Below are 26189 nucleotides of genomic sequence, written 5' to 3'. Positions count from 1 at the left end.
TATTATTAGGGTGACCATATAATAATCTAAGTTAGGACAATTTTGAGGGTATTAACAATTGTTCTGGGACATCTGGCCTAAGCTAGGATCATTTGGGGGCAATTGGACTTGGAGTCACCCTAGGCTTTATCAGAATACAGTATATACGGTATACAGTCCAAGTGATTTAAAACTTGGTTGACAAAACATATAAATACTAGTCAGTTATTGCTTTGTTAGTCTACTTTTGTAGTTCTTTTTTAAGATCGTTTTTCTTCTCCTTTTATATCTTAACATCTTTATCTTTCATTGTTTTACTCCAGAAATTTTTCACATCCGAATGTTTTAAAAGATGCAACTATCACATTTTGAACTGTGGTTCCAAGAAAATGTATTTTCAACTGTAGATTTTAATAAGTATTATTGTTTTTAAAATGCAAAAATACAGAGAGTAAGTATGTTGAATATATTCTTTACATTAATCTTGTTTTCCTTTGTATTTATTTTTCATTGTGCCTAACGGTACATCATCAAAATGTGTACTGCTAACTCATTTAAAAATACCTGGTAAGGTACATATTATGTACATTGATTTTGATAATATTCTTTGTCAGATTCTACAAATGGTAGAAAATATACTATTTTTTTTCAAGAAAAAGGAACTTACAGAGCATCTATCAAGTCTCCTATTATATGGATGGGAAAATTAAAATTCAGAGAAGTTAAGCTACTGTAAGTCACAAAGTTAGTGCGTGGAAGAGTCATAACCAGATCATCAATTCAAGGTTCCTTTTTTAACTATTTTGAAATAATTTTAGACTTAAAGAGGAGTTGCAAATATAGTAGAAGTTCTCCTGTACCCTTCACCCAGCTTCCCCTAATGTTTACATAACCATTATACAATTATTATGAAGTTCTTTTTTATTGCACTGTGTAGTCTTAGTTCAGATTTATTGCCTTTAAGTCAAGTGTGTAAAGTACGAAATGATACATTTCATAATATTTAGAAAAAGTGCTAGAAAAATTAATGATCCATTAGAAACCAAGGAAGCATATTCAGTGCCAAAGAATTTAGTATTCTTTCTAATCCTAACATATCTATTAGGATGACATATTTACAATTGGAATATTAAGATTTGGGGACTTTGAAATAGTATAGAACACATTTATCTCTCTATATAAATTAGTGTGAGCTTTCATACTTTTATAAACATATCCACCAATAGTGAATTTATTATTAAGTAGAGAAACATGAAAACTGTTTAATTTTTGACAAGGTAAAGTACAATAAATAATTTTTCTATTAGTGAAATCTTAGAAAAGTATTTCTAATCAATACGTCTATTTATAGAACTTGTTATAAAAGAATTGGGATAGGTCATGTATCTTTTGGTATATATTTGCTCCTATTTTCTTTGTGCTACATTGAACAGCAACAACAAAACAATAACAACAACAAAATCAGAATACATACATTGATTCTTCATGACTTATACCTTAAAAAATTAAAAATTTGTTTGTGAAGAGCCCAGAGAAAACAAATTATTCAGGCTTTTTACACTCAGTGCTTGGTTACAGTATTTGAATTATAGAAATTATAAAGCCTTCTTTTTTCAGTACTTCAAGCTTTCCAAATTATTTCATTATCCTTACTATTTAATTCCCAACAATACCTTCTATTAACAGTCTTCTCATTTTCTTTTCCCCTAAATTTAGGTTGATACTTGTAACGAACTGGTAGAGCCTCACTCATATGTCTGTGCTCTATCATTTTAGGGCCCACTGGCCTGATTTTCCGTCACCGTGGGGATGTTCTGACACCAGGAGGTATTAATGCCCCACTGTTTCCAGCCTGTGTAAGGGCAGCGCAGACTCCAGTGACCAGAGAAAGTGCTCAGAAAAAGATGCAGTGCTGGCAGTTGAAGACTGGCCAGCATGAATTGAGTTAATGCCACTAGGAATAGATCTTGACCAATGGCTGAAGGGAGCTAGTACATATATACCTCAGCTTTCTCACACTTCCAGTGGGATAGTTCTAGGGCTAGTGTTTTAAACTGGCTCCAAGAAAATCACAGTGAGATTAAAAACAATGACAACTTGCTTGGCAATTTACACTTTTTTTTTTTTTTTTTTTGCTTTCCTTCCCTTCCCTGCCTCACTTCCCATGTCCTACTGTGCTTCCTGAAATTATTTCCAAAATACATTGCTTGCACTTGAATCTTTAAATCAGGGTCTGCTTCTGGTGAGACACAAATTCAGAAAATGTTTTCCCAAAGCGTTCAAGAGACATTCAAGTAGTGGGAGTATTTATGTTTTGTATTATGTTTTGAGTAACAGGATCGATTGTAGGAAAAGCAAGAGAATGGAGACAAAGTGAGTTTAGGGATATCTGTGGATATCAACTATCTGTCCTTTGTCTTGAAAGCCAATCATTGTTACTGAAAATAGAAAATCTTATGTCTATATTACTTAGCCTGAAACAGGAAGAAAACTCTCTCAATAAAAGACAATAAAGAACAGGGATTTTTTTATTCATATTAATATCATTTTCTATCATAGTTGCTTATAACTAACACAAGTTCTATGGTGTCTTAAGGTGTTATAAATATTATTAAATTAGTAGAGCTGAATTGCTTTGTTAATTAAAAAATAAAATTGTATTTCTTTTTGGAGAAAAGGTCAAACGCTTCTATTATATTTTTAAAAAGTATATTCTAACAGTTTATTTGTAGCATAAAAGGTATATCATACCAAATATTAATAAACTGAGATCTACTGTACATTTTTAGTTATTCAGCTTTATTAGCTGATACAAAATGCAGAAAACGAAGGGTAAAATGTTTGTGATGTCCATTTAATCAGAATTATAGGGATATGCAATAAGAATGATGTAGAAGTATAATTTTTTTTAAAAAAACAACAAAATATACTAAAAAATGGAAGCTTAATTAGAATGTATTCTCTGATAATCTTCATTGTCCAGATTATTAATAGTTCGTAGCTGACTGATACTTTGATGTCTGACTAGGTCTTGGGATAGTCTCTGTGATTCCTGGCATATCATACCTAAGTTACCATTCAGCATCCCATCCACATTAAAAATTATATCTACCATTTCTGGGCCCCATGGAGTGATAGGTATAATAGTATTTAAATATTAAGTCTGAAGAAAGAAATCAGAGAAGGGTCAAATAAATACTATAAGAATACAGTGTGACTTTTATTTAATAGCATGTATCTGTAAAGCAATTTAACTTACAAGCTCTTTTTCAACTTAACTGATGCATGGCAATGCCAAATATTTTCTAAACTATGTTAGATATATTTTATTTTTAGAAATTTGTTAAACTAAGGTTTTCCAATTCTAACCTCAGTCTTTCTCCAATTCAAAATTACATTCTACTGAATACTTTGCTCGAGCTTTAGTGTAATATGTTTGAGTTATCTGTCCTTCAAATATCTTTGTCCACTGTTGTTTACTGTTTTAAAACAATCTAGTGCCAAATACCAGCCCTTTTGTAATTTTTCATTTAAAAACGTCCTTACATAATTTTGTACACTGAACACTTTGTACAACGTCTGGCATCAGCCTTTTACTATCTTGAATACCACATACTTATTCCAAACCTTTTTTCCTCATCACAGCTCCATTTGTACCCAATTGTATGTTTAATTCCTCTTTATTTTGGTCATGAAGGCTATATAGTGGTTTCCCATAACATTACACATCGGATCAAAATTTTGGACTTTGGTTAATAGACCTTTTCCAATATGCACTAACTTACCTGCTTTCCTTTTCTTTCAGCTCTCAGCATACCTTCTTCACTGATTGAGGCAAACGTGTTTTCCGTAGTCCAGATGAACTTTTAGTCCGAAACTAAACGTTATTCTCTTCCTCATTCAGTGGACTGATATCTCTCATTGCTTAAAAAGCACCAGAAATCCCAATGCCTCCTAGATGATTCTTCCAACAAGAACGCTATGAGGAGCGTTAGCATTCCTTGCTATTGCCTATTTAATCTATCAGGAATTAAATTTTATTCTATTCACTTTGGTTATTGCCTAGATATGCATATATTCTTGGTTAGAATATCATAATTACAGTGAAGTTCCTTCTTATGCTTAGTATGAAAGCCATCTTTTTGGCTGAATTGTTGTAGTGGAAAGTATAGGGAAGGAATAACTTCATTCTACAAATCTAGTGAATATGTTTATACCTTTGTACAGCTTAGAATACATTGCCACAGTCTCTCTCGTTTGACTCCCAATAATGGTGGAAATTGGTTGGAGTCTCAGTCTCTGTTTTGAGTGGGAGGGAATCCGGAGCTCTAATGTATTACAATACTTAAGACAGCAGCCTTTGCAGTCACGAAGACCTGAGTTTGAAATTACTACAATGTTTATAACTGCGTAACTTTGGGTAAATTTCTAATATCTTTAAACCTAAACTACCTCATAAAATGGGGACAGTAATAACTACACGACATACTGCATGTAATTGACACAGCATGCAAAGTGGATTGTTTGCCACGTGGTAAGTAAGCCCTTAATAAATGGCAAGACGTTAAGGGATTTGCCCAAGATACACTTGTAAAACAGCCTACAAGGACCAGAAACCAAGGAAGATTTCAGACTCCGAATCCCATGCTTTTCTACTACCCTGCTTCCTAGAACACTGAGTTAATTAAACTACTAATTTGATGAACGACCTTGAGCAAAATACTTCACTGAGTCAGTTTACTCATCTGTAAAATGAGGGACTTGATTTAGATAATGCCTAACGTCCTTTCAGAGTCTATTCCAGCTACATTAGATGTTTTATCCGGTGTTGCAGGGTTGACGTTCAGGTCCGTGATATGTCCAAGATCTGTATAATCATAAGCCGTGCACATGGCAATGAATTTTATTCCGACACTCGTATTTCGTTCAATATTTAGTTCTGTGTGCACACTCAGCTGTTGCCTGTCTTTAGTCTGCCTACCAGCGCCTTGTGAAGGGAAGACCCACACCTAGCTTTATTTATTTATATCCTGGCTTGTTCCCGAAAGGATTTAAGGCGGCGAGTGACACTCTAAGTCCCCTAACGGTGTCACACAGTGCGATTAAGAAATCCTCTTTGGATGAAATCATACCGTAGAAAATCGCCGATGAGTGAGATGCTAACTAATTAATGTCTTTTACCCAACTCTTAAAAATAAAAACTAATGCACCTAGCAAGAAGTCCTGGAAGCATACAGTGCTGGCTCTCCCTCCAGCTCTGACGCTGTCCCACCCGTTGTCAACGGTCACTCGAATGCCCTTCTTAGACTAGCCAAAATTGTCGCCGCTCCAGTACCAGCTGGACCAAGATCCCACCCCACCCCTTCGCTGCCCCTCATCACCCAAGTTTCCTGATTGGGAAGGGGCCCGAAGAACCTTTCTCACATTTCTATTTTATTGGCTGGCACGGCTGTCAGTAATCTCTCCTTCCCGCCTTCTAGCCTAGCGCGTTTCGTGGACCCCTTGGTTTCTGCGACAAGCCGCTTACGTTTGCCTGAGCCGTGTTGCCGGGGACCAGCGACCTTTCACCCCTCCCTTCCCACAGGAGCGCCCCGGCCCCCGCCCCCGCCCCAACCGCCGGCGCGCGTCCTCACCGCGCACGCGCTCCCCTCGCGCGCGCACACGCTCGCGCACACACGCTCCCTCGCCCCCGCCCGCGGAGTTCCCCCTCACCCCTCAGCCGCCCCGCCGGCTGAAGCATCGGCGCTGGGAGGCGGCGGCGCTGCTGAGAGGCAGGGACCCGAGCGCGAAGTGTGTGGGAGTCTACGAACTCAACCCCTCTCTACCCTCCCCTCACAGCCACCCCCCTCCCTCCCCGCCAGCCCCCCCCAACAAGCGGGAGAAATAATGAGCGAGACCGGGCGGCAGCAGCAGCAGCGCCGAGCAGCCCAGGCAACGGCAGAACCGCTCCGGCAGCGGCGGCGGCGGCAGCACCAGCAGCGGGAGCGAGCGCAACGCTAGCGCGGCGCGGGGACCGCCGCGCTCCTTCCCGGCTCCTGCCCTCCTCTGCCGCTCGCTCCTCTCTCGGCATCCACCTCCTTCCCCTCCTCCTGCTCATTCACTCTTTCCCTCACTCTCCCCTCCTCCTCGGCTTCTCCCCGCGCCCCGCCAGCCCTCGCGCTCTCCCACTCCCTCTGCCTGTCCTCCCCGGTCCCCTCCTCCCGCTCATTCACTCGCCCCTCTCCCTTCTCCACTCTCTCCCCCTGTCTCCTTTCTTCTTCTTCTTTCACCCTCCGTCTCTCACACCCCCTCCATTCCCCTGTCTCCTTTCTGACACTGCACTGCAGCTGCTCCTCAGCCCTGCCCCCTCCCCAGTGAGAACAAACCAGCAACATTGCTTTTTTTCCTAAAGAGATTTATATTGATCCGATTAAAAAAAAAAAACCTTAAGAAACCCCAAACGCAAAAAAAAAAAAAAAAAAAAAAGAAAAAAGAAAAGAAAAAGCCAAAACAAAAGGGAGAACCTTCTCCCGGTAGCAGCGGCAGGAACTGCAAACATGATGGCGGCAGCTCCCATCCAGCAGAACGGGACCCACACTGGGGTTCCCATAGACCTGGACCCGCCGGACTCGCGGAAAAGGCCGCTGGAAGCCCCCCCTGAAGCCGGCAGCACCAAGAGGACCAATACGGGCGGTGGGTATCGCTTCCACCTCCCCGCTGGCCCCATCCCCCGCCGCCCGCCCCTGCCTCCCTCCCTCGCCGTCCTCCCTCCCTCCTTCCCTCCCTCCCTCCCGCGGCCCGGACACCTCCAGCCCGAACCCGGCGGCCCCTGCGCCCCTGCCCCGCGCCCCCTCCCCTGCACCTGCCCCGCGCCTAGGTGTCCCCGACACATTTCCATTTCTGTGTTTATCATTCATCAAAATGGCGACCAGTTTTTCGGAATAGACCTATCTTTCCATTTAATCGGTCCAGAGGTTGACCATGTAAATATCCTAGACCTGGGCAAGAAGGTCCATTCAGGAGGAGGAGGAGGATGACCCCGGAGTGAGGTGATGGCCGCCCGAAGATGCGCGCTGCGTTTAACAGTCTGATAAAATAAATAAATAAATGGCACTTGGGTAGCGGATTGCGAATGACTGGGGCGCCGGAGAGTTTTTCCTCTCTCCATCCTCTTGCTTTGGGCCACAAGTAGTATGCAAAATCTTGATGAGTGCATGCCCTTACCGCACTTAGATTGTCGGTGCAAATATTTCATTGATTTGTCTTCAGGGGGGTGCATACGAGGGTGGGGGTGTCTGGAACGGTGACTTGTTAGTTAACATCCTGCGCTTCCTTGGAAGATGAGTTTTAACGGGACCGATATCGCTTCTTCATTTGCACTGGAATCATCTTAACAATGCACCCAATGCATCGAAGCAGAGGTGAATTTATCTCCAGCATATGCATTGTAGACGGATGGGGGTCTTTTGAGTGGCACACCACAACATTTGGAACATTCATTCACATTAAGAAAGCTGGATTTACCGGGGTGTCTCCTGTATAAGATGTGATCAAGTTGACGGAAATTAAAGTTTGTGGAGTTGGCTTAATTTTCTAAAACGTTTCATTTTATTTTTCCTGGTTCTTCCACCCCCTTTCCGTTTTAAAAGTTGTGATTATTTTGGGAAAGGAACATTACCTGTTTTGTCACTTTTAAGCCTATTTAATATAAATGACTCCTAAGCTTTTTAGTATTGGCAGAATTCTTCTTAAGGTCCTTTAATTAATGAGCTTAAACGAGATCACGGTAGACTAAGAAGTGCTAAAGAAATGCACTAGGATTAGTTAGATTTGCCAGTCCACCACACTGAGTTATTTCCTGGCAGTTATTGAAGACTTGGAATACACCCCACAGTTTGGGTGGATTATTTGGTAGGAGAATGGTTGTTTTGCGGACTTTAAGTAGGATATAGGCAATGGCTAATTGTAGTCCTTATGTGTCTGCTAATGACAAATAAATATAGCTCATCACTATTTACAGTCCTGGGCTTTTCTTCTTTTTTAATATGTTAAGTGAAGGTTTGTCATCTTATAAACCTCTGAAGTTTTGTTAAAGGGTCAGTTCATTTCATTTTGCCACAGATAGAATTGGAAGATTTCCATGTTTGGAATAACAACTGGAATTTAGTCATCAGTTTTTACAGTGCTGCAAAATAATAGAATATGTTTATATTTTAATTCCAAGCTTGAAAGTATAAATCCTATAAAATGGGAAACATTTTGTACCTGTTTGTTTTTCAATGTAATTGGCTTATTTTCATTCTCAAAAAATGTTTAACTTCATATTTCCTGCAGTTATATACCCAGTGCTTTAGTTGCTGTTTTTCTCTCTTGAGGGTGGAGAGGGGATACAAAGTTTGAAATACTGTGTTAACCGAGTATATTTCTTTGCATTTTTCAGAAGACGGCCAGTATTTTCTAAAGGTTCTCATACCTAGTTATGCTGCTGGATCTATAATTGGGAAGGGAGGACAGACAATTGTTCAGTTGCAAAAAGAAACTGGAGCCACCATCAAGCTGTCTAAGTCCAAAGATTTTTACCCAGGTAGGTGCAATGGTGAAGAGATTGTTTGATGAGCTCCCCACAGGAAAGAAAGATCTACTTGTGTTGTGTGCTGTCTTGAAAGAATTTTTAAACAATACTGGAGACTTTATTTAGATATTGCTTTATAGGAATATATTGTGGAAAAATTTTCAGATTATTTCTATTGTTGATTATGCCTTTTTCCTATAATTGTTGTACCGTGTATGTGAATTAGACCAGTTGCAAGATGATTCGGGTATTTCTGAATAATTCTTATTAGCAAAAAAACTCAAAAATTTAAAGATAGAAACCTGGACAGCTGGCATCAGGAAATAGGGTTCTTCTGAAGTTTTCAGACATCATTGTAATGACAATTAGCTTAGAGTGAATTCAGAAGAGGGGGGTAGGGAGGCTTCTTAAAGAATGGACCATTTACTTCTGAATCCATTATGTACCTCTTTCTGCTTCATTGCTTTGTTTGTTGGCCTTGGAGTGAAGTAAAGAGGACAAGTGTTGCCTCTTCAGATTTTTTAAATATTGCAGTTTTAATGCAATTGATATAAGGAAATTTATACTGTTATGCAAGAAGTAAAATAATGCTTCAGAATTCATGTTAACTTAAGAGCTAAATTTGATTAAATATGTTGACAGTGTAGTACAGTAACCTACTGGAATATGGGAAGTTTCCTTGGTGGTATAAATTTTTTGTTTTTCACTTTCAAGTATGCCTTTTTAAGTGTTAAATAGTTCTGCATGTCCATCTTTTTCTATTTTTTTCTTACATTTTGCTAATCACTATATGTATTTTAGGTTTAAGGGAAAAGTCTCTGTAATTGAGTAGTACATTTCCTAGATAAAACATTATCAGCTGATTTGCTTTTATTTAAATCTAGCTTTCTGTGATTTTTTTAAAGGTTATTTTATCTTTATGGCTGTCAAAAACGTTAATTCAGTGCTGAGGGAACCAATACTGCTTTAATTTTTTTCTTCCTGGTGGAAAAGAAAAGCTGATTTGCTTTCAGTGATCTAATTCAGTAAGAGTTCTTTAATACAGCAAAGACATCTGGCATGAATGTAAGCAGAACATTTGGAGGACTTCTTTTTCATAGCCAATCACTTGGTATTAGAAATGGACCATTATACTGGATAAGAAGGTTTTAGAATGGTTGAAACTATCATTTAGTTTTACAAATTAAATGTAGTATTTTTTGTAAACATTAAACTTATTAAACTAAAAAGTAATATATTAGACACGATGTTCCTCTAAAGTTTGTTTCCTATGAGTGTAGTTTTGCAGATGGCTTTCCTTGTCTCTGAAACTTTCCTTATGCATTAAGAAAGTTTGCTAACATATTCACATTCATATGTTTAAAAGGTATATTATGATAAAAAAAATCAATGTGGAATTGTGAAAACCCTTAGTACAAATAAAAGCACTCAAAAGAGCTTGATTGCAGAATTAATAACGTGATAGTTCTAGGAAAAGAGCTGCAATGGTAAATTAAATTCACTGTCAATAGATGAAAATGAAATAGCTTTTTTGCATTATACATGAGGTGGTATCAGATGTGCAGGGATGTTACAGAAAATTGGTGTTTATCAAGGATATTCCAAATAGTAAATTAAATGCCTTTTCATTTGAATATAGTTTATTTTCAGTGGGTTGGAAAGGGTGCACTGAGAATTAGATCTTTTGTTTTTAGTCCACTTAGTTGTACATTTTTTGCTTATTACATTGAAATTGATTATTTTATTTATAGTTCTGAGGCATGTTATTTGTATAGAGCAAGAATATCTGTTGGAAAAAAATGGAAAGCTGGAATGCGTTGAATAAAATTTTGTGTGTGTGGTGACGTAACCTGATCAAATGTGAGTTGAAATGTTGGATAAAAGAAGTCTATACTTTACCGGTAACAGGTGGAAACCAATCACACAGTATGGGATCAATTTTAAGGATAAAATAAAGCCTCGTAGTTTATAAGAAGCTTAAAGAATTCTGAACAGTTTGTATTAAAATACAATTTTAACTGGATTATTACCTGTTTGGACAGATAATCTCTTTGCTTCAGATAGACATTAATTTTAATAGTCTTTCTCTTCGCACTTGACCACAAGTCTTCAGAATAATTTTAAGATCCCGGTATTCTTCAACATAGCCTCTGAGCGCTTTTCAGTTTCTCTTACTCAGATGTACGTAAGGGACACTTACCTTGTACATCTCAGATGAGCTAAATTATAAACTGTGATCATATCATCAAGTTATAAAGAATTTCTTAGAGGATTAATGAAATCATTTGGAAGCCCGTTTTTGTGTCTTTCATACATATATGAAGTTCTTAAAGCTATATATATGTATATTTATGACTGTCATAATCTACTGGAACAAATATGCCTAATGTTTATTTCATGAAGCCCCTTTTCTGTTTCTCATTTGGTAAGAGCATATTTGGGGAAAAGTCTACTTTAGTTGTATAACCTAATGGATTTTCTCAAATTACCCAAGTTTTTAAGCAGAATGTAATTGTGTTTGTAAGGTTTAGTTAAAATACTAGTGTGTTTTCGGAAACTTTCTTCAGGATGTGTAACACAGAATACAGACACACTCGGGACATTTTAATACATTTTAACTCAAACGATAGGTACTTTAAAGAAATTATAGCCAATATAATTTCCTTGTATGCTTATTTGTTTTTCTTATTTCTTTTGAAAATATCTTAAGCAACCCTGCCTTTATGAGTAATTTTTAAAATTATGGTTGAAATGAAAAAACATTTTTGTACACTAATTGAGAATTTGTACAGCTGGATATTGCATTGCATTTTTCAATGTCGTGTATTAAATAACAAACTTGAGAAAATTGTGTGATGAGGAATTGTAAAATGTATTCTTCAATTACTGCAATCAGATAAAATGATCTACAAGTAGATCATTTTTGCTGTACTACGTAATCCATTTATCTGTTTTACAAAATCAAATCTTACAGAGTACTGACTTAATTCTGGTGGTTTAGGAATATACCTTTTTTTTTTTCTTACATGATTAGAGCAAGCCAATTTGATTTACTTATATATCTTTTTATAACTAGGTTATAGCAAGTTACCTTGTAGTAAAAAACAGCTTTCTTGGTTTGAGGAATATATTATTGTATGCCTTTTCAGAGTGACGATAGTTTATTTTTATTCTTTTATTTGGCATAAGGATATGTTTAGTTTTTGTTAATAATCATATTGGTTTTATCTGTAAAAATTATTTAATGGATGGTTCAGGTAGGTAATCCGAAAAGCTTACTGCATGCATTATTGGTTGGAAATGATAACGGATGTATGCAATAAATATTTTCGTGTATTCCTTAGATTTTAGAACATATCATAGTATACTTATTTTTATTCTATTATATGGTATTCGTTACATCAGTCAAACAGAATCCTTCATTATAGTGTTGGAATCTGTCTATTTTACACTGTTTTAATATTTGTCATTATAAAACTAGTATCACATTTAATAAAAATATTTCCTTTTATGGTTCTTAATTTAAAATTTGAAATTATTATTTGTACATTCATTATATTTCAATTTTTCTTACTTTCCAAATTGGGTGGTGCTTTTTTAAAAAAAACACAAACCATTATACATTTTTTTAAATCATAAAAGAGCAGAATGTAAGTGAAATTTTTTTGTAGGGAAGGAAAGACCCAACATTGCTTTTATTTTGAAAAGGGGAAAATATAGTGGCCAAATTAAACTTTAGAACTGGAATTGTATAATTATGATAATTTTTTGCAAATCAGAGGAGATAATGAATTTAAAACATTATTTCTGTTTACATCATTGAAGGAAGAGTATTATGATATTGGTAGTACATATGAATGTGAATCTCTTACAGCTTCTAAAAGTTGCAGTCTGTACTTTGATCTTAGATGCAAAGAATATTGGACATTTGTTGGAATATATATTTTAAGGCAAAATTAGTGATAAATAGAACTGTAACAAGTACAGAAAATAAAATGGTATAATTTCCAACATTGTTGGGTGGGTTTAATAGGATAGTTATCATTACACTAGGTTATACTTTGGATTTTAGTGTTATCAAAGAGTTGCTGACACAAAGTGTTTTTCCTTGAATCTTAAAGTTGTAATGTTTATTTGACACACTACCTATTGTTAGGGTTACTTTTATCTTTTATCTCTATATCTACAGTTGAAGGAGAAACATAATCTTTTACTTAAACATTAGTATCTCTGAAAATTTGCTGTATTTTGGTTTAATTTTTTTTAATACTTTATTTTCTTACTTTAAGCAATAGGAAATCTTAACATATGAAGGAACATTACTGGCATAGCGCAATCTGTATTAACATTACAGTTTCCAAAAGATACAATTTTATTCGTATCTTGTGTATGCAGATGTTTTGTGGGGTTTTTAGAAAGATGAATTAGCACTAAAAATTTTAGCTGTACATTTTATTTGATTCCTTTTTGTATCATTTTGATGTTGACAGAGTAAGTTATAAGACATCATTAATTTATAGTGTTGGTGTTTTCATGAATCATATACATAATGCTACTTTGAAATTTGCTTTTTGATGCTTTCTGGGCTTTGGAAAAACAGCTCATTTAAAATTTGTGTCACTGTAATGAAATATATCTACAACATTGCCTTGCAAATACTACCCCAAAGGATTTCAGGAATAGTTTAAACATGTTGGTGATATAGTTCAATACTTATGTATTGAAGATGTTTCATACAGCAAGAGGAAAAATGATCTGTGTCTTGAAAATGCTAAGGAGTATGTGATATCACTAAAAACCTGACTGACAACCATCAGTGAAAAACTTATGTATTTTATGTTGTATTGTTTGGGAGTTTTTTGCTCTGGCTTCAGAGAATTAATTTTTTAAAAAATTATTAACTGACACAAATGACATTTATTGACTACATATTATGCTACTTGTTAACTAAATTTCAGCACCTAATAAATATTTTTGACCATAGAATTTTTAACTGTGGAGTCTCAGTTTTGTCCAGTTCAGTGGAGCTATATTTTAAAACACAACTTTTATGAGTAAGTTCTGCTTTTCAAAATAAAACTGGGGGGACGAAGGTGGGAGATTTGTGCTTGATTGCCATCTCATTTCCATCTTTGGATACTGCTTTAGCATAAAGTTAAACAACATCTGCAGAGATCTGACTGACAAACATCTCTCTGGGACTCATCATTGCAGCCTGCAGCAGGTGCATTCAGCTTTGCAGTCTTTTCCAAAAAGAGGTTAGTTTGTTTTAACATTTATCAGTAGACCAGTGGGAGCAAGTGACTAGAGAGAAGAGGTTAGTTGTCACTTGTTCAGTACTGGAATACTACAGGTAATTGGACTGGACTGGTGGGAACTGCAACAGTGTGTATCTCACATTGCACTGCAGCTGCTATGGAGCTTAATTAACCTGACCCTCAGAGACTGAAGTGTCATGGTATAAAACGCAACATGCAAGGAATGAAGTAGTGCTTTTCAATACTTTCTGATGCTTGGGTTGATGAAATTTCCATATTCTTCATTTTATTCTTTAAAGATATGGCATCAGCTTTCCTACGTCTTTAATATGGAAATATTTTCAACTACATTGATTTTTCATGAAACTGATAGAATGTACATAAAACAAGGATAGGGTCTTTAGGTATAGAAATAACAAAAAAATAACCTTAAGTGAGAAGCATTTACATTTCACTATGCCACCAGTACATATGTAAAACATGAGTGAGTGGAAATAAGTGGAAGTACTTGGTAGTTCTTCTTAAAATATTATCTCAGATTAACATTTATTTTTCATAGGAAGTTAAAACATTATAAAATTTAAGTTGTATCTTTTTAGAATATTGATGGCTTTGGCAAGTACACTTTGCAGAGTAGTTTGAAGTGTTCCAACAAACAGGACAGGTGTAGCATATTAAAAATATTTTTAAGATTTTGAACTTAATTTTACTGAAATGTTTCCCACATTTAATTACAAGTAAATTAAAATTTAGTCAAAATCTCAAAAAATTACTGTGTCATTTATTTCTGTTGTTTTTAATTTCTCAATCTGTTTGAAGTATTGACTTTGAGTATGCGTCTGTGACATATATACAAGTTTCTTGTGTGTTCTAATAGTATTCCCAGTGAATACAGATATGTTATCACAGTCCTGTTCATTAATCAGCCCTTAAATAGACAATATATTCAAAGGTAAAAATACATTTAAACGAAATCTGGCAAAGTCTGTACTATCTTAAAATAATTTGGAATGTAAAAACCATTTGAAGTCTTTGTAAAGCAGTTTTATAGCTTTGAATTTTCTATTAAATTTACTAATCTGAATTTTTTGGTATCCATTGAATATAATTTATTATTTACCAAAGAGTAGTTAAGTTTTGGAGTTTGCACAGGTTTTTTTTCTATTTTTTTGTTTTGTAAACTATGTATTTTTCCTGAAGGAATATTTACCAGTATTGGTAATAACTGTTTCATACTGAAGATACTGCTTGAGAAGAAAATAATTTTTACTTTAATTATGAATAGTTGGAATTTATTGGTAATTATAGCTGTTAAAAGAAATAAGATTAAAGCTATGCTATCTAGAGGTCAAGAGATTCATTCCAGTACTTTAAAACATAAATTATTTTATTCTCTTTTGACATGATTGACTATTTTTAATCAATTCTTATCAATATAAAAATACTTTAAAATTTCACATATATACTTTTACCGTGATTTTTAAATTTTTGTTTAATAAGACATTGAATAAGAACAAACATTTTAAGACTGCAAAGTAAAAAAGATAATTATTTACACTGATCAACTTTTTGAGATATTTTCAGTATTTTCCAAGTTTCACACCACTGTATGGATATCCAAATCTTGATCATGAAAACACCTACTATCTCCACTCCATCATTGATTCTTTGCTGCTTCCTGCAGGGCCTGTCATAGCATTGTTGACAGGAAGAGATGAAAAATGAAATTAATGTCTTGAGGTTTTTAACAGCAAAATGATTAAGGTAAGATTATTTGGTGTGGAAAATAAAACATTTTTGTCCATTTTTCAATGAATTTTATTCAATAGGTTATATTTAAAATTGATGTTATATTTTTCTTTTTTATTTCAAGACCTATTTTATGTCTTACTGATGTTCAATATATTTCTAATTTCTGATAAACTGTATTGCAGACTCAATAATTTAAAAATTTTAGATGGTAGTGTTTTTTTTTTTACCTTCCTTGTGAAACTGAGCATACATTTCGAAGTTCTGTGGAAGAACTTTTCAGTTCATTTTAAAGATGTTTGAGAATAGTTATACTCTCATGGCTCCATAATTTTACTCACAGTGTAAGTTTTCAGAGAAGTTTGTTAATTAAAAAGATTTCAAATCCTGCATTTCTTCTAGGATATGACAGAAGTTTACTTAGTTTACTTAGTTCTAAAAAATCATTCTGATTTTAAAGAAGATTGTCTTCATTTAAATTGTTAATAATTTGCTGCTGTAGAAAATACACTGGACTGAGACTGTGTTTTAAGATCTAATCTAGGGGGGAAGGGCAGAATAGAACCAATAGTAGTGCATTTCAGTAACACAGAATAGTAGGTAATAGGGTACCTACTATTTTAAAAAAAAACATGTTTTTGTTTTCTTTTTATGTTGCTAAATATTTTAGAAGAACTGTAGCTTTTTAATTTTGGTCATATTAATTCTTGAAATACCTGGTTTTGAAGTGGTTAGTGTTGGAGGTAAGTAAGCTCTTACTGGTAGAGCTCATTCACATACTTAGTCCTTAATTATTCTTTGGATAACCCATGTTTTTATTTTTCTATGATGATGATTTCTTTAAAAAGTGGTGAAGGTAATTTTTTTTGAAACTTGGTTTCATTCTTAAGTGTGAAGTCTGCCTGGAAGCTGTCTCTTGTTAATTATTATGCATATTTATCAGATGCTTCCTGTAAACGCTGGTGTAGGCAGCTATTTGGTAATCATTACTTAGAATTATTACAATGTATCTTTTCTCCATTCGAGGAATATAGGCATACTTTGCTTTACCCTGAGAAATTTTGCTTTGCTCTTTTCTCCTTAGATTTTTGTTTTTTTTTTTTTTTATATATTTTAGATCCCTGTTAAAGATTTAGGACAACACTTAGGAATAGCTAAGAGACTTTTTATTTAAAAGATTTGGAGAAATCATAGAGTTGTGGAAATAGATCAAAGTGATGAAGTTCAGATGATCTCTTCTAAAACTTTCATTTAACAGTTGAGAAAACCAAGGTACCAAGAGATTAAGTGATTTACGTAAGGTTTCTCTAATGCCAGTAATTGTCCTGTAGCTTTGAAATGTGTTTTCTGAATTTGTGGTGCAATTGTGGTAGGTACTTCATTCTCTTGTTTTGTTCTACTTTTTTTTTCCCTCCCTTCTGGATGTGACTCTGAGGAAGTAAGTCCTTACCTCCTCTCTCTCCTAGTCTTAAAATGAATATATGTTCTTTAAAAAAAAAAAAAAAACTGAGATGATGGCCCAGTGGTTATTTTGCCATTATTATTATTATTTTAGTTCATGTGCTACACTGAAGGAACATAGGCAGGATGCTCTTTGGTCATTAACAAATTTCTTTTAGAAAAGGATATCATAGGTTATATTGCCTGGAGCATGTAGCCTGGTCATTTTCTCTCTTTCCTTAATTATACTGTTTGAAAGTGGCAGTGTTTTTATGGTGATTAGATTTCTGCAGCATTGTTATTTTTCTTCATTTGTACTTTTTTTCTTTCTTGCTTTCATCATTCCTTAGCTATACTTCTACATTTTAATTTTTGGTTAGAGTATTGACTTATTAAAAAAGTAGGCTAAGTTAAATTTTGTTTTCAAGAATTATTTTAATAATATATGTATTTTTCATGTTTTTATGACTTTTATAAAAACTCCTGTAAGTATAGTGTATTTGGGTGAATATTCATAACATTTGGTTCAACAGATAAATACCATGATTAAAAAATAAGCATGAGGCTAATTGTAAGGCAACGTAGTAAAAATGTAGCTGTATTGTCCAGTAATTATTAATTTGAAAACATCACTGTTTTCTCCTTTTTGGCTATTCATTTCATTAAATTGGTCTACTCAGTTAATTAGAATTCTGATACTATTTTCATTGTGTTATAGGCTTAAGGACTATGTTCTAATATAATCATAAAAGTACTTAATGTGATTTTGAAGACTTTTCCTTCTACAGTGTTAAATTAAAACAAAAACTCTTTTGTGATAGTCTTTACTCACATCAGTTGAGTAATTGGATTAAGGTCCACTGATGTGGGGGAATTTATGGCATCCTTCTTGCCTGCTGTGTGTTTAACATACAGCGCAATTGTTTAATCATAGGTGGCACTGGAAATTTAAATGAATGTATGAATGAATGACTGAATGAACCATTTGAGATTTCTTCTGTGAAGTGCTCATGGAATACCAATACAGTGGATATAGAAGGCAGTCCATCTTTAGTTTTTCATTACACTTCTAGTTTACTTTAATAATGAATTTAGAAATTTAAATGAACAAGAAATGCATAGAAGTGTTAGGGTAGGTATTGGCTAGGTACAGTGGAGTATGACGGGAATTTTGCGTTCTGTTTAGCATGCTATCCTGTGTGAAAGAAACTGAAATCCAATATTATGGAGAGTATGTTAAAGCCACCTCTGAAATGAAGACCACCTTTAAAATAACTTAAGCAATATGAGTTTAAGAATTAGTTATTAATAAAGTATATTAAAAGTATATATATATTACAAGATTTTATAGCTGTATCACATTGTAGTTTATTTATGGCCACATGGCCATATGTTCAGTAAGGAAAAAGACCAATCATGATTTTTCTTGAGTACTAACCATCAAATTAAAGTGATATATTAGAAGTATGCTTACTAAGTGTTTTGTTTATAATATATTTTAATATCTTCTTCCCCAACTATAGTGGGGAAGTTAACATGTGACTTTGTTGGGGGAGGTTACATTGTTACATTGAGAAACTGGACAATTTACTTTTCTAATGTGCCAAGAAAAATAAAAAATACCAGCTGTATAGTAGAGTGGAACTTATTTGCTTATAGTTTGACTAACTTAAATATCAAGGTATTAGTATGTTACTTTATTTGAAATTAAAATTTTAGGGAAGATATTGAGTTTGGGATATTTCGGAGTCTTTACATACTTTGTAAATATATGCAATTTAAAGAGATACATGAAATAAGAGTGTTTTTCTTGTATTAATACATTGTTTGATTTTTATCATAGTAAACCAGTGAAACATCTAAGATTTAATAGATAGCACTCTTTCATGCCTTGTGATTAGTCTTCCACATTTTTGTAAATTTTATTTATATTTTAAAAAGTAATGGAGAACAGTGGGTTAAAATAACCATATCATAGTGTTTCTTGTCTGTTTCCCCGTGCCCTTCTTTGCCACGGATTTTAAGTATTATGAACATTAGTGGGCTTTGTTGGGGTTAGAACTAAGTATACAATGCCCTAAAATCTTAGATGGATACCAGGTTACAAGTTTGATAACTGTATAATGGAGAATTATATCTAGAAGTTGAAATTATCTCTGTTAGTGTCAGAGTCTTGGGAGGAGGGGTTAGATTTCGAAGAAGACTTCGAAGAGGAGCTGACAGGGTTTTGGGGACTGAATTTTAATTTGCTTGGTGAACAAAAGTGGAAAGTCATTTAAGGCATATATAGACATAAAGATGTGCAAAAATTCTGTTATATTCAGGGGTCTAAAAGTAGTTTGGTATTGATTGGATAAAAAGTGGATATTGCTGTTGGTGTGGGGGTCAGTGGTGGTAGGAGGCACTATAGATATCTGTACAGGTAAGAGACAATCTAGTGCATATGAAAAAGAAGAAAAGACTGGCTGAAAAATATTCTTCCTAGATATATTCGTTAGCAAGAATATTTTTTAAATCTACATCTGCTGTGTGTCTGTAAAATGACTGACAGTGGTACTGTAATTAAAAAATATATATTTATGTAAATATAGTGACACTTATAGTCTGGCGGATGGATTGCCCAGTTGTTCAAAAGTATAATTGAGTATACGATTGGATTCTGGCTTTCTGCTTAGGAAATAGAAATAGAATTTTATAAAGACCCAATTTACTTAGAAAGGAAAAGGCAAAGGGAAAGATGGGGCAACTAGAAATACAGAAAAGAGATGTTAAGAAATGTGAGTTGTGTTTAACCAGTTATGTGCCAAGTATGGAAGAAAAAAAAGGTGGAGGACAGTTAGTGAATGACAGATTTCTATGAAGAATGTTTTGCTATATGTGGGGAAGATCTTTAACTAATTTGCTTTTGATTCATAGCAGTTCAGATCATATACAAGAAGAAATGTTTCTTGTTTCTTAAATTCATTCAATATGTAGGCCTTTCTTGCTTTCTTAGCATATGAAAATATATACTTATTTTTAATTGGATAAACATGAGTGATTTATACAATATATGTGTGTGTGTGTGTGTGTGTGTGTGTGTGTGTGTGTGTGAATTTGATGCTGTTCAAACGCTAAAGTTAGGTATATTGTCAAAACATTGTTAAGCTATGTCAGTGAAAATTAAAACTTACTATTTATTAGTGGATTCTCTGTTATGTAATTTTTTTGCTTGAATTTTTGTTGATTATTGAGATAAAGCGGGATTTTTCATCATTTATAAGTATTTCACATAAGAATCAATCTTAATTAATACCCTTATCAAATTCAGATGAATTTTTAAAAGTCTGAAAAATATGATACTGTTTTTTCATTTAGAAAATGAGATTAAAAATCTATCTTGCATTTTATACTGATTTGTGCAATTATTGGCTACTTGTGTAGAGAAACATTAAAAAATTGAACAGCTGAAGTGACATTAAGCAACAGATGGGGATTTAAAATAAAAATATTCACTGTGTAATCTTTATTTAAGTGCTATTCATAATTCAGTAATACCAGTTGTGTAACTCAAGGTTGAATTCAATATAAAAAAGGAAGCATAAGAAAAGTCCCATTTCCTTAAAATTGATATCTGTATTATGGTATGATTTCATGATTTGTTTATAAAGTGAGAAATAATCTAGCTAAGAGTTGCATACATGTTTTTTTGCAGGTCAAATTCAATTCTTTTTGAGAAAAATTTTGAAGAAATTTTGAATTATTTCCAAATAATATTTATTTGAATTTAACATATTTTACTGTTTCTGCCTTTAAAATGATATTCTATTTTGTATTTTAGCTTATCTTCTCAACTGAAAATTTGAAACCATGCTTTCTTTACAGTAGTATTTTAAACTAATTGTTCTGAAGCGTATACCTATTCTGTTTAAGGAAAGGTATGTTCCTCTCAAAGCTTTATCACACTTTCAGCTATGCTGGTGTATTTGACATCTTGTTTAAAAACTAGAATGTCTCTGCATACGAACACCCAAACTGTGATAATGAGCTAGATATGCCATATGTGGCACTTTAGGTTGGCATATATCTGAAATGGCATGTTTAATGTACTGTATTACTAGGATTAGTAATTTTACAGTGGAAGGCTGCTACTTTTATGATATAGTCTCCTGCTGCTGGGCTTATAAGTCTGATGGACTCTTTACTCAAAACCTGTTTTTTAATTTCTGTAAAAATCTTTTTACTATTGAAATTATCTGCATAAGATCTATCTGGCTGATTGACTTATTATCTGAAGTTTGTCAAGATTAGTGAGAAGTAAAAAACATATATAGTTTGATAGGTTTATAAATGTAAATAGTAATTATGTATATTTTGTTAAGGAATAATAATGCTAACATATTTAGTATTGCCAGCAATGGTTTAGTAAAGTACATAATTGAGAATTGTTCACAATATTTTTATTTTTAGAAAAAAGTGCATAGGAAAAGCTTTGAGGTTCTATGGAGTCTTGGCAGTGAAGCCATTAAAAAGCAAACTGCAATAAATAATGTTCTTTTATGACAGAATGCTCAACTTTAAATTCATATTCCAGTTCTCATGGACATAATATTCATTTTTTATTTTTAAAATTATGCTTTTATCCAAGGGTTTTACTGAAGCACCTTCAAATCAGTCAGGAGATTGCGTTAAAAATAAGTAGATACTGCATTGCAATGAGGATAATTTAGATAATTTAAATTTAAGGTATAAGTAAAGAATGTAAACATTTTTTGACTACTTAAAATATGCAGAATAAGTACAATTTCGGGTTTGGGAAATGTTTCAACTAACAGTTATCTGAATTCTATATCTTTTGCAATTTCTGTGTTTTAAAAAGCCAGACTCTGAATTTCATTATGTTTTCATTTAAACTGACTCTATCACAGTTAATAGAAAATGGGATTGTGTTGTTTTTAAATTCTTTAGACTATACAACTAAAAGTTACTTGTTGATCAGTTATGGCTTAATGAGACCTTACATTTCTATAGGATTTTAATTCTTAAAACATCAGTGTAGGTAGAAGTTTTTGTCTTCATTTTACAGATGAAGAATATAAGATAGTGAAAGGTAAAATTATTTGTGATATGTCAAGTTAATAATGAACCTGTTTATTTTCTGTTATTGTGTAACAGCATTCTGTTATTTTGTATTTGCATCAAATTGTGTATAAATTTGAGTTCAGAAATGGAGTATTCAAAATTTAAGTAAGATTTATCAAACTGCCACATTTGCCCATCACTGGGAGATAATATTTCTGATAGGTTATACATTTTTTTCCAATTCATATGTAAATCCTACAAAAATTTTGCCATTGAAAGGAAAATAGTAATAACTAAGCAACATGGAAACATACAAAAGTTATTTTTTCAGCTGACCAGACTTGTGTATATATATAGAACCTTGATATCTTTCTATTTTCCTATTTTCATATTGACATTAGGTCATTAAGATAGTTTGAAATTGCTTACATGAAATGTAAACTTTGAGATTGTTTACATGAAATGATTCAATTGCCTTCATTTGGCCCTGTAAGATTTTGTTTCTCACTTTTTAAATTATATATAATGTCTACTTTCAAGATTTGTTGAATTATAGATTTAAGGTTAGAAAACTCTGGTCAGATCACTGTGATATAGTACTCAGTTTAATAAAAAATTTTATGAGGAAAATATGCAATGGATATTATACAATGTAGTTTATTAAGCAATTATCACATCAGTTCAGTACTTCTTAACGCCTCTGTGGAAGTACGACGAATACAAGACTTCTAGAGAACATGTGGTGTCAGACCAGAGTTTGAATCCCAGCTCTGCCACTTACTAGGTGTACTATTTTAATCAGTCATTTAATCTTCTTGTACCTCCAGTTTTTTATCTGCGTAATGTAGTATCTGTACCTCTTTCATAATTATAACTTTAGGTACTAAAAAGGAAAACTGTAAAAGCATGTCACATAATAAATATTTGGTGTATAATAAGCTTATTATGACCCTATCATTTTTCACCTCCTTTCTATGCTTGTTTCATTTAATAATACTAAATTTATAGCAGAGATTTTAATGTAGAATAAATTACATTAATGTGGCCCTAAAAAGGACAACATTTATATAAGGATTTTTAACAATTGAAGTGTTTTTTTCATAATTGTTGTAAAAATGCAGGTGATAGAATGCCAAAGCTCTGACCTATCCTCATCCCACACCTTTAAGATAATTAATATAAATAATTTCTTATATATTTTTAAACATTCTATTTTAAAATAGCAGTTATTGTTTTTAGTGGTAATTATAAGTGATCATCGTTTTTATAGATAAGAATGAGTTTTCCGCAAACCACCTATGTTGATTAATGGGTTTATGGAGCTTCTAAATACTGTAAGGTGTCTTTCCAGTCTCAGCTTTGTGGGTATTTTTGTTGCATAGCCTAAATAAGTGTTCTATAATACCCCTGAAGATATGCAGAGCTTTTTTTATTTGTTTATGTTTTTGCCTATATAGTGGAGAAGAAAACTAGGCATGTGAATTTGTAATATTAAAGCAAATTATAATAATCTCATGTGAAACATATGGATTTATTTGTTTTATAACTCATTAAAATTAACTTAATTAGCCTCTGTCTTCATCCTTGTATATGCAAATACAAAACATTAAAAATCATTGATTAGAGTCTTAATTGGGATTTAACAGGAATAAATCAGGTGGCATATAGAATATTTAATATTGTCTTTCATGATCTTTTTCAGGATACTAAGACTTCTGAATTTTTTTTCCTACTAGCAAAAATGAAAGTCATAATGCATTAAATGATGAAGCTAAATGTTTAATAATATAGATGATAATTCATAAGGCTTATTTTAAAGCTTTTTTTTTTGCTGTTAGTAAGATTTTTTTAGCTGGTGCAGTGCAGTGGTGCACACCTTTCATCTCAGCTACTTGGGAGGCTGAGATGGTAGAATTGCTTGAACCCAGGAGTTTGGGAATAGCCTGGGCAATATAGTGAGACCCCATCTCTAAAAATAATTTAATTTTGCAGTATAATTATTTATGAAAAAATAAGTAAATAAAAGTAATTTAATTTTTTTAAGTTTTAAGATATTGGCTCTGTCAAGGTCTTAAATATTTTAACTCATGTTCTTGCAGCCTCCATAAAGGATCTAAGAAATTTTAGTAGTGTAATTCTACTAAACGTATCTTTCAGAGGCCACTTTTTTTATTCCTTTCCATTCCTTAGCAAGTATTTTCCATGAGTCATTACACATATTCTTGATTGCCATTACGCTAAAATTGTTTTTTATGATTTGTTTGTATTTTGTCTTAATTATTGTATAAACTTAATTCTGTATTCAGATACTTCATATAGTAAATTAAATATTACTTACATACTAAATATTTTAAGTTTCATGTAATACTATTGCAAGATCAACTAACTGTAAGTATGATTTTTGTTTTGCGTGACTGTGACCTGGAGGACAATAAATTTAATAAGATTATACTGATTCTTAGATTGCTTTGTGGAAGAAATAAAATCTTTGTATTTGTAATAGTGTAAATTCAGTTTTATATTTGGAAGGGTACACCTTTGAATATATAAGAATACGATGGCTGGGCACCATGGCTCATGCCTGCAATCCCAGCATTTGGGAGGCCGAGGCAGGCAGATCACGAGGTCAACAGATTGGGACCATCCTGGCCAACACGGTGAAACCCCGTCTCTACTTAAAATACAAAAATTGGCTGGGCTTGATGGCGCGCGCCTGTAGTCCCACCTACTCGGGAGGCTGAGGCGGGAGAGTCACTTGAACCTGGGAGGCGGAGGTTCCAGTGAGCCAAGATCACTCCACTGCACTCCAGCCTGGCAACAGAGTGAGACTCTGTCTCAAAAAAAAAAAAAAAAAAAAAAAGAATACCACCTGCTATGGAAAAAAAAAAATAAAGAAACTGAGAAACTTTGTTAAAGACCATTTAATTCCAGAATGATTAAATAGACTTCATCTTTATGGTAATGGATTTATTCTTACATCTTTAAAATCTGTAGAGATGATGACAGTGAAGTCTGATTGGAGTGAGGGTTAAATTATATGTTGTCAGTGTATAGACGATGAATCTGTGTTAGTCTGTATTAGGGATGACTAAAGGTTATCACTGTCTTTATTAATATTAGGGTGTGGTTTTGAGTGTGAACTCTGACATTAACCCAGATTTCCTTCTCATTTGTAATATTTTTTACTTTTCTTTGGAATTAAAGCTACACAATATATGATGATATTAAGTCCCAATTCTGAAAGCTCTTTCATGATCTTCCTTGATGATCTTATTTTCTATTTCACTGAGAGAATTCTAAAAATTTCATAAGCTCCTACCACCAGATCTACCTACCTAAGTATATGAGTATCTGAATACTTTTACTATTTTGTTAAACTATGTGCCTAGCAAAGGCCTACCTCTACTTTTTTTCTATATTCCATTCCATTCCATCTTACCTACTTAGATATCATTTAGCAATTCTTTCTCCACTTTCCTGCAGTATCAAGTTCTTGCCCTACTGGAAATTATTTTTACCTACAAATACACTGTTCTTTCTCCCACTTAAAAAAAAAAAGTGTGTTTCTTTTTATCCCACTTCCTGTTCTGGTAATTATGGCATTAACGGTAAAATTCTTCAAATTTGTTGCCCATACTTGTGCTATCTCCATTTCCTCTCTTTTCATTTCTCTTTTGAAGCTATTCCAATTAGGACTTTGACCCAACCTTTCACTGAAACTACTCATGTTAAAGTCACTGGTAGCTTCTATACTTTTTATTCAGTGGTCAGTTCTCAGTCCTCCTTTTTATATAACCATCAGCAGCATTTGACACAGTGATCACTGTCTCCTTTTTGAAACATTTCATTTTGCTTCTGGTACACCTTTATCTCATTGGTTGCAGCCGTATATTTCTTTTGCTGTTTTTTTTTTTCTCATTTCCTTGGACTTCTTTTTTTCTGTCCGTGGTTACTCCCTTGGTGATCCAATCCAGTATCATGGATTTAAATAACCATCTGTTCTTTGATGACTACCAAATGTTTGTGTCCATTGTGGACCTTTCATCTGAACTCTACACTGATGATGCAGCTGCCTGCTTTATATCACTTCTATGTCTAATATGTATGTTAGAATTAAATATGATTTTAAATATTCTGATCTTTCTCTTGAC

General features: G+C 33.7%; 1 protein-coding gene and 1 long non-coding RNA gene across 13 annotated transcripts in view; one reads left to right on the top strand and one right to left on the bottom strand.

Moving 5' to 3' along the window:
* NOVA1-DT (NOVA1 divergent transcript) overlaps positions 1-5305 on the bottom strand; it is a 207821-nt gene extending 202516 nt beyond the window's left edge. Inside the window, exon 1 of the long non-coding RNA NR_147061.1 lies at positions 3765-5305. This is a non-coding gene — a long non-coding RNA (NOVA1 divergent transcript). The remainder of the gene's footprint in view (positions 1-3764) is intronic.
* Positions 5306-5918: 613 nt separating this feature from the next.
* Positions 5919-26189, top strand: part of NOVA1 (NOVA alternative splicing regulator 1) — a 154944-nt gene continuing 134673 nt past the window's right edge. For 5 of the 12 annotated variants that reach the window (NM_006489.3, NM_002515.3, NM_001366390.2 and 2 more), the window contains exons 1-2: positions 5919-6651; positions 8399-8542. In NM_006489.3, coding sequence (NP_006480.2) covers positions 6516-6651; positions 8399-8542 — 280 coding nt within the window. In that variant the 5' untranslated portion in view covers positions 5919-6515. Of the gene's footprint in view, positions 6652-6869; positions 7380-7854; positions 8055-8398; positions 8543-26189 lie in introns of those variants that run through there. The other 7 variants (NM_001366394.2, NM_001366393.2, NM_001366395.2 and 4 more) reach the window with 3 other exon arrangements.

The sequence above is a fragment of the Homo sapiens genome, chromosome 14 (genome assembly GCF_000001405.40).
Source record: "Homo sapiens chromosome 14, GRCh38.p14 Primary Assembly".
Lineage (NCBI taxonomy): Eukaryota > Metazoa > Chordata > Mammalia > Primates > Hominidae > Homo > Homo sapiens.
This window is presented reverse-complemented; position numbering and strand designations above follow the sequence as displayed.